This window comes from Homo sapiens, chromosome 14 (genome assembly GCF_000001405.40).
Source record: "Homo sapiens chromosome 14, GRCh38.p14 Primary Assembly".
Classification (NCBI taxonomy): Eukaryota; Metazoa; Chordata; class Mammalia; order Primates; family Hominidae; genus Homo; species Homo sapiens.
Genome location: NC_000014.9, coordinates 37,258,569 through 37,272,971, shown reverse-complemented (window position 1 = coordinate 37,272,971; position 14,403 = coordinate 37,258,569). Strand labels below are relative to the sequence as shown.

The 14,403-nt window shown below is 33.2% G+C and overlaps 1 protein-coding gene across 13 annotated transcripts in view; it reads right to left on the bottom strand.

Moving 5' to 3' along the window:
• Positions 1–14,403, bottom strand: part of MIPOL1 (mirror-image polydactyly 1) — a 354,425-nt gene that overhangs the window by 279,390 nt on the left and 60,632 nt on the right. For 10 of the 13 annotated variants that reach the window (NM_001195296.2, NM_001195297.2, NM_138731.7 and 7 more), the window contains 3 exons: positions 5,803–6,034; positions 4,179–4,314; positions 2,447–2,552 (listed from right to left, as the gene is read on the bottom strand). In NM_001195296.2, coding sequence (NP_001182225.1) covers positions 2,447–2,552; positions 4,179–4,314; positions 5,803–6,034 — 474 coding nt within the window. Of the gene's footprint in view, positions 1–2,446; positions 2,553–4,178; positions 4,315–5,802; positions 6,035–7,690; positions 7,766–14,403 lie in introns of all 13 variants that reach the window. The other 3 variants (NM_001388071.1, NM_001388074.1, NM_001388070.1) reach the window with 1 other exon arrangement.

Below are 14,403 nucleotides of genomic sequence, written 5' to 3'. Positions count from 1 at the left end.
ATTTCCTTAGGGTACCTCATATTTTAATTAACATTTTATTTTTAAAATCTATAGACAGATTGTCTCCTATTTGCTGTTTCCAATGTTTAGTTCAGATGTTTTTATAAGTATTTCTTTTATTGTGAAATGGTTTGATCTTTTTAAACATATATATTCTGCTTAACTACGTTATAATACTTATGTATGTGTGCGTGCTTATAACATATTTTGCCAAATACACTTTTTATTTCAAATATAAAAATGAGCAGTCATAGAAACAAACATCCATGCATATGTGGATTATTTGTTCTTTCACATTACAAGAAATAAAGAATTCATTAGATGTCATCATAGTCCTATACTGCTCTTTTTTCTATTAAGATACTGACAAGGTAGTTTTTGTTGTTCTGTTTTGCTTTTTGACTGTACCTCCTATTCATCAGATAGAAAATAAGTTTATTTAAGACAAGTTTATTAAGACCATACATAAAATGGGAAAATATGAAAAGGTTCAAAAGTCCACCAAAGAAAGGGTCAGTTACCAAATTTTTTGTTGTTTTAAACCAATGAATTTCTTCAGCAATTCATATTATTTTGACATAATAACAATAATTCTTTCTAATGTTATAGGAAAAATACTTTAAGTCTCTTCTTAAAATGAGATAGAAGTAAAATATTAAAGAGGAAAGATATACTTTGAAAATTTATCCCTTAAAACAACTTTGGGAATTTTCATTTTGTGTCATTTTTATAAGCAAATGGTTGGACATATCTCTTTTAACTAGATTGTTTTGTTCCAGAGAAACTAAATAACACTGTTATTTTCATCAATTTAGAATGCTATAAATATTTTATTAAACATCTTTTAAATAATTGACATTTATTAATATAATATTTTGTTATTAATGAGAAATATAACAAAGTAATCAAATTATTTCCATGTTATGAATGCCTGATTCAAACTGTTCAAATGGGAACACTTAAATATATACCAATAAATAAATATGTAAAGTATCTGCTTAGCTACATTATAAAAAAAATTAAAGAGTAAATATTATTGCTTAATTAGGTTTCCCCTCCAAGAGATAAATGGGCTGGGCAGACACATTAATTCATGATTATCAATAGGTTATGAAAACCCTAATCTTATTAAATTATTTCTGTAAGACATATGCAAAGTTAACATTATGCAAATGCATCAAAATTCTTGTAAGAGTATCCAAAACAAATTTCTTCTAATAGTATCCTAAAAATTAGTATATTTATACATGATTATAAAAAGCCAAGAAATTGCCAAATTGTTCAAAATTTATATTTGAAATGCTTATTTTTAACAAACTATTAATTTTCCTTAAAATATGTTACTTTCATATTTTCCCACACACAAAAATAAAAACATTACGGTAGTTTAACATTAACAGAAAAGCAACTATCTAGTATTCAGCTGGTGTATTTATTTATGGTCATCTTTGTTATATTTTCATAGCAATGTTTAGTTCTATTTTCCACAATCATATTTTAAAGCAAGCTCTCCTAGTTAATCATATTTCTGACCTAAAATAATTCTTTCACCTATGTAATCCCATTAAGTGACTTGTAAAGCATGATTATGACCTCAGACTAATCACAAAATTCAATTGCTTCTTAAAAGCATTCCAAATGATATAAAAATGTTAAAAATCAGTGATATCTAAAATGGCTCTGAATGCTAATGTCTATTACTCCATGAAATTTCTCTTTCCTTAACATACTAAAACAATGTGAGAGATACATTCACAGTGGCATACACAGATGGAGATCATAGACTATTGTGAATCATTTCATTGTATCTATAACATATCAAAAATACATTTAAAAATTTCTGCTTGCAAAGACCTGTGAGTAAACATAGACTCCAGAATATATTTAAGGTAATCATTCATAATCTGAAAGTTTGGCAACCTTTCACTTTAATCTCAGGGAAAATATTACCTCTATTAGCGTCTACGTCATCAGATGAAAACTTATTAATTGCACAAAACAGATTTTTTAATCAAATGTAGGTTTCCATTGGCAATGAATATGTGACTATCTTCATACAAAGGAGAAGTATTTCCTCTCAACGAGCTAAAACAATAAGTGGTATTTGAACTGCTGGTTGAAAGGTAGAGGCACTGGTAATCATTATTTCCCCTTGTTTGTTCAGCCCCTTCCAACAAAACAAACAACCTTTTTGTGATTGGATTGACATGGTGTTAACAATGCATTTAATGCCCAAATCAGTATGAATACAGGTAAAGCTCTCACTAATACCAGTACCAGGATGTTAAAGCCACCTATTTTCTAAGCAGCCAAAAAAAAAAAAAAAAAAAGGAGAGCTTCCCCTCCTTTGGCAAATAAGCCAGTATGCTAGTATTCACCAAGATACATCATATAATAACCTTGTGTGTGATTCTTCAAGCCATGTGTTAATACTCCTCTACTATACCTGCTGTCTTTTCAGCAATTTTAGCTTCTGTTTCTTTCTCTTGGAGTTCCAGCTTAAACTTTAGTTTTCTCTGTTCTTTATCTTCTTTAGCCAATTTCTGCTGAAGCTAAAGCACATTGAAAAAAATCATGGATTCTTATTTGACAAATGTCTTGCAAAAATATAATTAATTTCAAAGTTTTTGGTTTTTTCTTAATTCTTATATTATATTTAACTTCCTAGATAGATAACTCCAGAAAAAAATTTAAAATTTAAGTTATTTATAAAGTAATAATTACCTGTAGTTATACAGAAATTGTAAAAACATCCCAATATACACTTAATTTATGTGTATATGTGCATGAACAGGCAAATTAAATTCAGAGGACCAACATTATTCTTAAAAATAACTACTGCAGTTCAGATGTGGTTGCTCACGCCTGTAATCCCAGCCCTTTGGGAGGCCGAGGTGGGCAGATCACCTGAGGTCAGGAGTTTGAGACCAGCCTGGCCAACATGATGAAACCCCGTCTCTACTAAAAATACAAAAAATTAGCTAGGTGTGGTGGCGGGCACCTGTAATCCCAGCTACTCGAGAGGCTGAGGCAGGAGAATTGCTTGAACCCAGGAGGCGGAGATTGCAGTGGGCTGAGATCGCGCCATTGAACTCCAGCCTGGGCAACAAGAGTGAAACTCCATCTCAAAAAAAATAATAATAATAATGACTACTGCAAAAGCAGTCTCATTCATCCTTTTTTCTTAATGCAAAATATTTGGAAGGGATTTGCCTAATAAAATAACAGATAGCACTGCTTTACAGTTTATCTTAGTAAATCCAATATTCTGAAACAAAATTAAGACAATAATCTTAATATCTGATACAAATCTCCCTTTGAGAATACTACCCCATCATATTCCATTTAAATTGACACTGACACCTGACTCATAAGTGGCATGTAATAAATAACTGCTAAATGAAAGTACAGAAAACATCTCATACAGAATCCCTCCACATGTTTTTTTAATTCCTCCCTAGGTTTTTGTCATTTTAGTTGTTTTCCTCCAAACATGATCAACATTCCTAACATCATGCTTCAGTTTGATTAGGTTACACAACTAGAATATTAAAATCAGAGCAGTATGTAGAGGTTAAAAAAAAAAGAAGACACAGAAAATGCACATTATTTAATAAAATTATTTAATGATCACATGACTATAACTAGAATAAGAGTCAGAACAGAAGATAAAACATAACGTGACAAATTGGACTGGACAAAATGCAGCAGTATAAGATTAACACAAGGTAAATGACAATATTGCCAAGCCTTGCTACTGAAATGTTTAATTACATGTATTATTGAGGTCAAATATAGGGCATGGATACTAATAAAGAAAAAAAAATTAAGATAGTAACATGAAACCAGTGCATTCTATCTCCCATTCTCTATAATACTGAAGCAGAGTTTTACTAAAACTTGAATCTTTTTTTTTAAAGATATGTATACAAGGAACCAGGGGCTTATGAAAAAGGAAGTGCTAATGTGGACCAGCAAGGTATGAAATCAAAAAAATGCTTTCATTTTCAACCCCTTAACTCAACCATACCCTGATGGCAAGGTATGGCAAAAACATAAAGCTACTGTTAAATGATTAAAGTGCAAAATAAAACTGAATTATGATGGGCAACAAAGGAAATTTAGAAGATCAACAGCTAAACCCATACTATACAATTATCAGACTTTCCATATTATACCTTTTTATTGCTTGTTCTGAGAATATCCAATTCTTTTAGAAGAAATGCTATTGTCTTCTCTTTATCTGAGTCTGAAGTAACTTGACAAGGAGTCATACATTCATAATGCATATCATTATGTCTATGTTCCATAACGCTGTAATAAAGAAACTGATTAACATTTCAGAGTAAGATAAACTAATTTTTTGACATTTTGTATGCTACTTGAGAACAGTATCAACTTGTAAGCAAACACCATAAAGGAAGGGAAAGGAAAAGAGATGGGCTGTTTTTTTGAAGGCCTTATATTAAATTTGTAAGCACAGGTAAATTTTGGAGTCACTAAGAAGAAATTTAGTGACGGCTGGGACAGTCAGTGCAGCTCTATTTACCACGTACATCTCCTGTTGTAATTATGCTAGATATCTCATAATCTGACTTTAGCCCAATCTCTACTATTTACTTTACCCATGTGGTTATAAAATGTTTATCCCTACTTCATTCTTCTGTGCTTCTACTCCTCAAAAGGGACTCCAACCTACACCTTAGTAAGAATCTGAAAAAGGGATGGGAACATATCAATACATCTATTTCATTATATGTTACTATCTATTAACATATCTACTGAATAATTTGAAAGTAGAATAAAAGTTCCTATGCAAAAATCTGTTAAAAATAGTATGCTGCAAAATATTATTTTGTCTAGACTGAAAATATATTAGTCACTGAAACTTCTTTTTAAATCTAATAATATTTTTCTAGCACATGACTAATTATCAAAGTTCCTTAATCTCATGGGTAGAAGTATCAGGTATCACAAATTCAAATCCTTTCATGAGCTAGGTAGGCAAGGTTACTGGGTAAAAGCTGAGAAAGTAAAATAATGAGGAATGCAAATGGTAGAGAACAAGGCCCTTTTAAAAGCATCAAATTCATTTAAATGAAAAATAGCGCTAACCCAAACCAAAATGCATGTTTGGGCTTACCTTGTCCTGGAGCTGCCAGTTTTTTACTTTCATGAATGATATGTCATGTATATCAATTTAACAGTTATTTCCAAATACATAAAGAAAGGTCACAGAAAATAATATTGAATAAAATAGAATTAAACCTGTCTTTCTTCAGATGCACTTTGTGCTTTTTCACTTAGTTAACTAGACATATTATATCCATACCATGGAAACAGTAGAAAACCCTGGTAGATTCGCCAAGTTCTAATAAGTTTAGAATTAGCCAACACCAAAAAGAAAGAAGGAAAGAGGAAGAAAGGGAAGAAGGGAGGGAGAAAAAGTTCTTCCAATTCTAACTTTCTCTTTTTTTTTTTTTCTTCAGACAATCTTGCTCTGTTGCCTAGGCTGGAGTACAGTGGCACAATCTCAGCTCACTGCAACCTCCGCCTCCCAGGTTCAAGCGATTCTCATGACTCAGCCTCCTGAGTAGCTGGGATTACAGGCATGTGCCACCACACCTGGCTGATTTTTGTATTTTCAGTAGAGACAGGGTTTCACCATGTTGGCCAGGCTGGTCTCGAACTCCTGACCTCAAGTGATCCACCCACCTCGTCCTCCCAAAGTGCTGAGATTACAGGCATGAGCCACCACGCCTGGCCCCAATTCCTTCTAAATCTAAGGCTGTGAGCACTTACTTGTATTTTTCAGTAGTGCAGTAAACAGACTCATCATCTGGATAAGAACTGATGATCTGAAAATTCGTTGATCTCTGCCCTGGCCATTCTGTGTTCTCACATGTTATTTCATTAACTAATTCAGTGGATTTCCGATGCATACTTTTCTCAGAATTCATAGTCAGTTGCTCATCTGGCTGCGTACTTTTATTTATCCCCGTAGTTTCTTGTTCAAGATAACTGTGGGTTATGTCTGTATTTAAACAAACAAATAACACATGATATATTAAACACCATAACTGCATATTAAATCATTCAGTCAAATAAATATTTTTGGAAACACTCTTTAGCTTTAAACATATAGTTTCTAGTCTTACTCCTACTGTAATCAGATAAGCATTGGGATAAGTTGTAGATAATGGTAAATTTGGTCTCAAATAGGCCAAAAAGAGTTGGGACTTAAGAGTCTGAAGCAGTTGTGGGGCTGTCATGGGGACCTGGGGGCTTTTATAGTTGGCAGTGGTCCATGGACCATCCTTTTTCCTTTTGAAGAAATATGGCACTTCATAAACTGAAGAATGTGGGGCCTAAGAGTTTTTTAAAAATATGTCCCTAGGGGCAATGTTTGTTATTTTGATAATGCTTTCAGTAACTATTTCTGATTGCTTTTCATTTGAGTTACTTACAATGTTATGTTAGTGTTAGAAAGCATGGTCTGTTAATGATATAGAGGCTTTCCTTAGTGCCCGTTTATAAACTTTTGTCATTCAGATTTTAAGAGTTTCATTATACTAATGCCAGCCTATTACAGAAAACTAGCATGGTGACCATCTAATGCAAACCAAGTAAGCATTTTGAGCTGTCAAGAATGAACAAGTAATCTTCAGATGTATCTGTTCCTAAAACTGTCAAATGTAAATGGTTGTTTACTAGTTTTATAGTTCTCTTTCTTTGGCTTTAACCTAATGTGAAATTTTGTGATCCCCTGAACTCTTGATAAATTACCACTATTTAACTTGTGACCACACTATCTTCTTCAATCTTAGAGGAGATGCAGAAGCTTCCCAATAAGAGCTTCCTAATAAGAAGACTCTGTGTTGATCCCTCCTGGGTCTTAGTAATTATAACCCCTTGAAGTTTTATTACAATAAATCCATCAATTTCTGACACACTCCAGACTTCCATTCTAAAATTTAATTATAAATGTTTAATATTTTTAAAGAACCCATACTGTGTGACATGGCTCTATTTCTGGATATTTCTCATTTTGTTCAGTAGTAAAAGCTTTCAGATTTCTATTTCAAAAGGCTCATCAGAAATTTGGAGCCTGCTCTGCAAATCAGACTATCCATACTCTTCTACTGAAAATTTATTTAAAAAAAATGTTTTAGGTCAGGATCTTGCAGTGTTGCCCAGGCTGGCCTCAAACTCCTGGGTTTAAGCAATCCTCCCACCTCAGACTCCCAGTCTGAGAATTTAATTTTACTTTAGAATACACATGGCTGACTTATAAAAATTTTCCTGCCTGTCTTGTTTTTTTGACCAACTATTTTGGCAAGTATGATTCCAGCAAATCAATGTTAAATCCTCTGAAGGCTTTCAATGCTCTCCTCTCTGCCATCCTGCGTTACACTATATTAGTATTCAAACATTTGTATAAAAAGTTTGACTCTTCTAATTTATTTATTCATTAATTTACTGATCGTTCATTGAAAACTTACAGTGTGGTATGTCTTGTGGTAGCTACTGGGAAAACAAAGATGAATAAGAAACAAACACTCCACTCAAAGACTCTCTAGTACAGTGAGGATGGCAAACTCATCTAATGATCTGAATACAGTATAATAAGGACTATGCTTGGGCTATGGAGGCCAAATACATACAATATGCTAGACATACTAATGCTCACCTGGAAGACTCTAGGAAGACTTCACAAAGGCATTTGCTCCAAAAAAGGTCAAGTAGGGATATGCGAAGTAGCAAACTGCCAAAGGATAGCCAGAGTTAGATGAAATAAAAAGTTAATAGACTATAAAAATAGGAAGAATAGGAATAGATATAGAGGAGAAGAAATAAATTTAGGAAAAATGAAGAGACATTTCTTGTATTGAAATGACAAGATGTTATAGTCGGAAGAAAATTTCTAAAATCAGTATTAAGGACAAAGTCCAAGGTATGGCTCATCTGGAAATGAGTTGATGAAATAAATTAAAAGTGAACATACTTGGAGTGGAGAAAATCAAAAAGTCAAAGTGCTGAAAGTACCACCTTTGAAGGCATTGAAGTCATCCAGAAAAATGGCAGAAAATGGAGAGAAGAAATGAGAGCCAAACATCAAAGATTTCAATGACTGCAGAAGCAAGCTAAATGAGAAAGCCGACAAAAACTGACATTAGATAATCCTTCATTTGTACCTTTTCATTTTGAAATAATTTGTCTCATAAGAAAGTTGCAAAACAAAGAATTACTGTATGCCCTTTACCTAGACTCCCCAAATATTAACATTTTATCATGCTTGCTTTATTAACCATTCTTTCTATAACTATCTACACAATTTTTTTTTTTGAGAGGGTTTCGCTCCGTCACCCACGTTGGAGTGCAGTAGCACAATCATGGCTCGCTGCAGCCTTGACCTCCCGGGCTTAAGCAATTTTCCCAACTCAGCCCCCCGAATAGTTGAGACTACAGCTGTGTGCTGTGTTGCCATGCCTCACTAATTTTTTTTTTTTCAGAGATGGGGTCTTGCCATGTTGCCCAGGCTGGTCTCAAACTCCTGGGCTCAAGCAATCCTCCTGCCTCTGCCTCCCAAAGTATTGGGATTACAGGCATAAGCCACCATGCCTGACCTTACAATTTTTTTTTTTCTGAAACATTAGTGAGTAAGCAACAGGCATGAAACACTTTGACTTTTCAAGACAAATTTTAAGATACTGCTCTATCATCTTGCATTTTGCCTAATTTTCTTTACCTTATTCATAGCCCAAATTTATTTCTGAATTAGTACCTTTTCTAACCAAGAGAAGATGAAAGCAGTTAGTAACTCTAAGTTCAGACTTCAGTTATTTTCCCTAAACTCTCCAGCCCAGGAGAAGGATCTTTATGAAGCAATAATGAGACGAAGCTACTAAGAGCTTTAGCTGAGCTTATTTGTATTGCCCCATCACTTTAAAAAGAACTGCATACAGAAATATAAACACAAGCCAATAAAATGCCATTAAAGTGAAGCTATTGGTCTGTTTTGCATATTAGTCAATTTAAAAGATAAGACAAATGTTAAACAGAAAGATATTCACTTTCGATTCAAACTCTTATCTCTAGGCAGATGAAAACTTAAACCTAAAACCATCCTGTTGATTCCTCTATCTCTTTCATATGGTTTGAAACGGAAACTCTCTTTAGTAATCCACTTTAGTGTTTAATCAGTGTCATTGTTAACTCTTCTAACATTATGACTAACTGAATTAATACTATTCAACTTCATTTATCCATATGGACTTAAAGAATAAACTGTCAATCTCTTCTTCATCATTCAAAAGTTATGAAGTCTGACTTTCTTTTCTCAGAGTTAAACAACAGGAAAAAATGTATGATTACTATCAATCTCTTCATTTGCTTTTCTGTGGGCACACTGTTTTATTTAGACATAAGAATTCGACCACTTCAAACCAAATATAATTCCCAACTTTTGCATTTACTGTCTCATACCATCACTACCACATAAAGTTATCCTGCTATCAACTGAAAAATGATATTATGGATTACTACTAGGTATTACCCTAAAATGCCACCTACTGCTATTGCTAGACAGTTTATTCATCTAGGCATAGAATCTTAGTACTTAATACATCTGCATAGACCAGCTGCATTGTATGCTTTGAGGATCCTGTATCTCTCTAGTGACTTTCATGCTGTTTCCAATGAACCATTTTCATGATCTAATGAATTATTGCTTGCTTCTGGAGGTGTCAGTATTGTTAACTGTCTCAATGCTAATGCTGTTGTTAAACCCTCAATTCCTTAGTCTGGAAAGTTAACAGTGTTACAATACCATTGCCTATTCTAGGAAAGAAAGCTTTGAGATTCCCTTTGAGTTCAATTCTTCAGATAATTATACATTTTTTAATATATACTATACTCAGATTGATGCTACCCAATAAATCATGACTCATTGCCAAAAGTAACTATTATTTAATGACCACTATACAGAAGTAAGGCAGTGGCTAGAATCAAATAGGGATTCTCAGAGGCTGGGAAATTCTGTTCTGCCTGGCTTTGTAAATAGTTTGTGACAACTGGTATCTGTGTAAACGGATTTGATGGTCCCCTGGGGGGGTCAATACTGTTTACAGAGCTGTTTCTTCAGAGTGGTTGAGCTAGAATTGTCTCTAGGGTTCCCACTGGGGTTACTCAGAATAGCAACATCCCAGCTACCTGGGAGCTCAGAGACAGGAAAGAGAAAGGGTGGATAGAAGTATTAGGGGCAAATACATTCAAATAAATGGATCGCCTGCCTCTTAAGATGAAGGTACTACTTAGTGCATATATATCTAAAATGAACATAGTAAAGGCAGTTTGTTAATGTGCTCCCTGATACTTGATAACATAACTTCACTATTTCTGTAAATTCTGTCTTTTGGGGGGTGAGAAAAGAAGGTTACACCTTAGCATCTGATTTTATAAATATAAAAAGAACCAAATCGCATGCTTTAATGCTTCTTTCCTTCCTATATGGTCCATCACCATATTATATAAAAACATCAAAATATAAGACTTCCTTTTCCTATTGGAGTGCAAATTTGATGTGATGATGGAATTTCTACAGTAGTTCCACATTTTAAACAAAAGATGTCTTTTTTCAATGGGCAAAAACTTTTTTTTTAATGAATATTAGTTTTGAAATAATCAGAACAATGCCGACTAGTGATTGCTCCCAATGACTTCTACAAATTCCTTAAGTAATTTAAATATAGTATATACTTTCTTTGTCTCCGTGTGCACAAATAATATTTATTTCCATTACTAAATATGTCCAACTATGCTTCCCTTTTCTGTGGAATAGAGGGTTAGCTTTCCACAGAGATGCATATTATATGTGCTCCCCTACAACATCTAGGCAATACAGATGTATATTATATGTGTTTTTCCCCCCACATAACATTATCAGGAACTTCTATAACATTATAGTAGATCTGCCTAATATGTGTGTACAAGATAAAAGTTTAGACCATCCAAGTGTTCTAACCACTACACCACTGATATATTTAGACCTTCCAAGCAGAACCACAGTCAGTGCATGGATTCTGAAGACAGACTACAAGGTTTGAATTCTGGCTCCACAATATAGCTGTACAACCTTTAGCAAAATATTTAACCTTTCATCAATTTTCCTAGCAGTAAAGAGTACAAAATGATAGCATCTACCTCAAAAAAATGTTGAGAATTAAACTAAGTTACATAAATCTTTTAGAAAAGTGTTAGCACAAAATATACAATAAATATTAGCTACTATTATCTTTAGAATCTGCTTTGCTAAAAGCTAGTTTCTCTATTTTGATTTCTCTCACCTTTCTGTGAGATAACATCACCATCTTGGGACCATATTCAAACTTACAATTCAAATTTATATCTTTAATTTCTCTCAAATATTAAGAAAAGCAAGAAAAGTATCTATTTTCCTAGTTATTATTCTAGTTTTCATATTTTAAATTTTCTCAATTTCCTGAACAAATTTATTTGATGATCAATAGTCAGCATATAGTTGCACAGCTAAAATCAGTACAGCTGACCTAATCAACCAAGTTGTTATCTAAACATTTACTTTTTCTTCCAGGAAATGTTAGCAACTATGGGGAAAAAATCTCTCAGAAATACTAATGTATCTAATACTTTCTCTTTTTTTTTTCTTTTTCTCTTTTCTTTTGGCCCAAATAATCTTATTCTGTTAACAATTGTATGTAATTCTTCTAAAATATCAGAAGACATGGAAATGAAAAATAAATAGAATGCCACCTAATTCAATGAGAAACATAAACACAAAGAGAAAATACTTAAGATGGTTAAAACTTGTAATTAATACATAATGGTTTAATAAAGTTTGTATCAGATTATAAAACTAATACATTACAGAAATAATACAACTTTGAAATTTAGAAATCTTGACATTCAGGAAAGATTCTGAGAAAATTCACCGTCAAAGAAAGAAAATTAACAGTAAATTCAATCCCATGGCAGGAAAACAAGAAATTTAAATAACATACTTCTATGTTATTAATTACAATCTGTTATTAATTACATATTCTATGATATTAATTACAATCAGGATCACAGCTGGTAGACCACAGGCTCCTATCTTCCTGAGAATCTAATTTAGGAGTCACAGGAAATTAGGTAACTTAGCTTAAAAAATGGAAACTTTTTACATGAATACCGTATACTAGCTCTCTCAGGGCTTTTTAAATTTGTATTTTGGCTTCAACAGTCATAAAATAAAGTCATAATTTTACTTTCATTGGTCTACATAATTAATAACCTCTATCTGTGCTTTAAACAAACTTGCCAACATACTTTTAGATTGTTTCTACAAACAGCATAAATGAAATTATAAGATAATCTTTCTGTTTCATGTGTTTTTCAATATCACCACCAAGTTAATTACCAACCACAACTATGTAATTATTCTTCTATAATGTGTTCAACAACATTACATTAGCAACTATGTCCAACCACATTATAGAAGAATAGAGAATAGTTACACAGATGTGGTTTCTACAGTTCACAGCCTTCTCATCTATGTGTGTCTCCCTTTCTAGACTGTAAGCTCCCTAATATACTCATCTTCCTAAAATATACTGGAACAAAACAGTGGATATATTAGGTCTTTCATTCAATGAAATGAAATGAATCAATGAAAGGAGATACTAAATTAGGTTTCCTTTTTTTTTTTTTTTTTTAGATGAGATCTCACTATGTTGCCCAGACTGGTCTCTCAAACTCCTGAGCTCAAGCAATCCTCCCACCTTGGCCTTCCAAAGTGCTGGGGTTACAGGTGTAAGCTAACGCATCTGGCCAGAAATACTGAATTAGAAAATCAGCTAAAGAATATATGGAGAGCAAACAAGTATTGAAAATGAGTACTTTATTCAACACTTATTAAGTACCAACACAGTGCCAGGTGCTGTGTAGGATGTAAAGGTAAATTAAAAACTCTATCTGCTCTCAGGGGAAATGACAAAGAATGAGGGAGGCAGACAATATGAATAACCTTTGCAAACAAGTAAAGAAAAGGTTGGTGGCAGAATGAGGTAGTCCCGGTGATATGTTTAATCATATAGATCAGCACTATCCAAAAGATACATTGCTCAAATTGCTTATACAATTTTTAATTTTCTCATAAGCTCATCAAACAAGAAATAATGAGTAATATTATATTTCTCAAATATGACCATTTCAACATGTAGTATTAAAAAATTGCTTTGAGAAATTTACATTCTTTTTTGTACTATAATTACAGCAAATCTCAGTTTGGACTACCCAGATTTTAAGTGCTCAGTAGCCACATGGTGCCCATAGCTACCACATTGGAAAGCACAGACAGTGATTTCTTATGTTTTTTTTGTTTTTTTTTAAGACAGGGTCTCACTCTGTCACTCAGACTAGAGTGAGGTGGCACCATCATGGCTCACTACAGCCTCAACCTTCTAGGCTCTGGCGATCCTCTAGCTTCAGCTTCCAGAGTAGCTAACACCACAGGCATGTACCACCACACCTGGCTAATTTGTTTTTATTATTTGTAGAGACAAGGTCTCCCCTATGTTGCCCAGGCTGGTCTCGAACTCCTGGGCTCAAGTGATCTCAGGTCGATCCCATCTCAGCCTCCCAAAGTGCTGGGATTATAGGTGTGAGCCACTGTCCCCAGTGCATATGTAATTCTTAATAAGGTATATTGTACACATATTGAAGAGAAGTCAAAAACATATTGAATGGTAAAGGCTACGTGTAGCTATAAGATACTGAAATAAGCTTTTATTAAGGTTGAAAAACCAGATAATCACTAAATCTGTCAATATCACATAACTCATTCATTTGGACATTAGAGTTGGAGATACAAAATAAACTGCATCCTTTATACTCCTACACATGGTTATATTTAGATAAACACACATGCCAAAAAGAAGTGGTGAGATTATTTTACCTTAGATACAACAATTCAATGACTTGATGTACCATGTTTCAAACTATCTATTGGCTATTCATGAAAATTCTTTTACTGAAATTTTATTCTTTTTTTTTTCAGATAAAACAGCTATTTAAAGTGGTGATGCCACAAATTTTTTTTAAGTTTTTGTTTGTTTCACCAAGTCTGAAGTAGTCACGAATGAATCAATATTCATCCTATTGAGGAAAAGTTCCGATTTCTTTGTATGAACTATTTAAAGTACGTAAGTATTTTGTGAAATTCTATCATATGTTTAAGCTTTTAAATTTCAACATCCTTCACCATATGAAGGCAATGAGCACAATATAATAGCGTAATATCCTACAGCTTAGGCTATATAATTAACTTATAAATCACAAATTTAGGGTTTGTACAACTTCTATTACAAATGTTAAAAACACTACAAA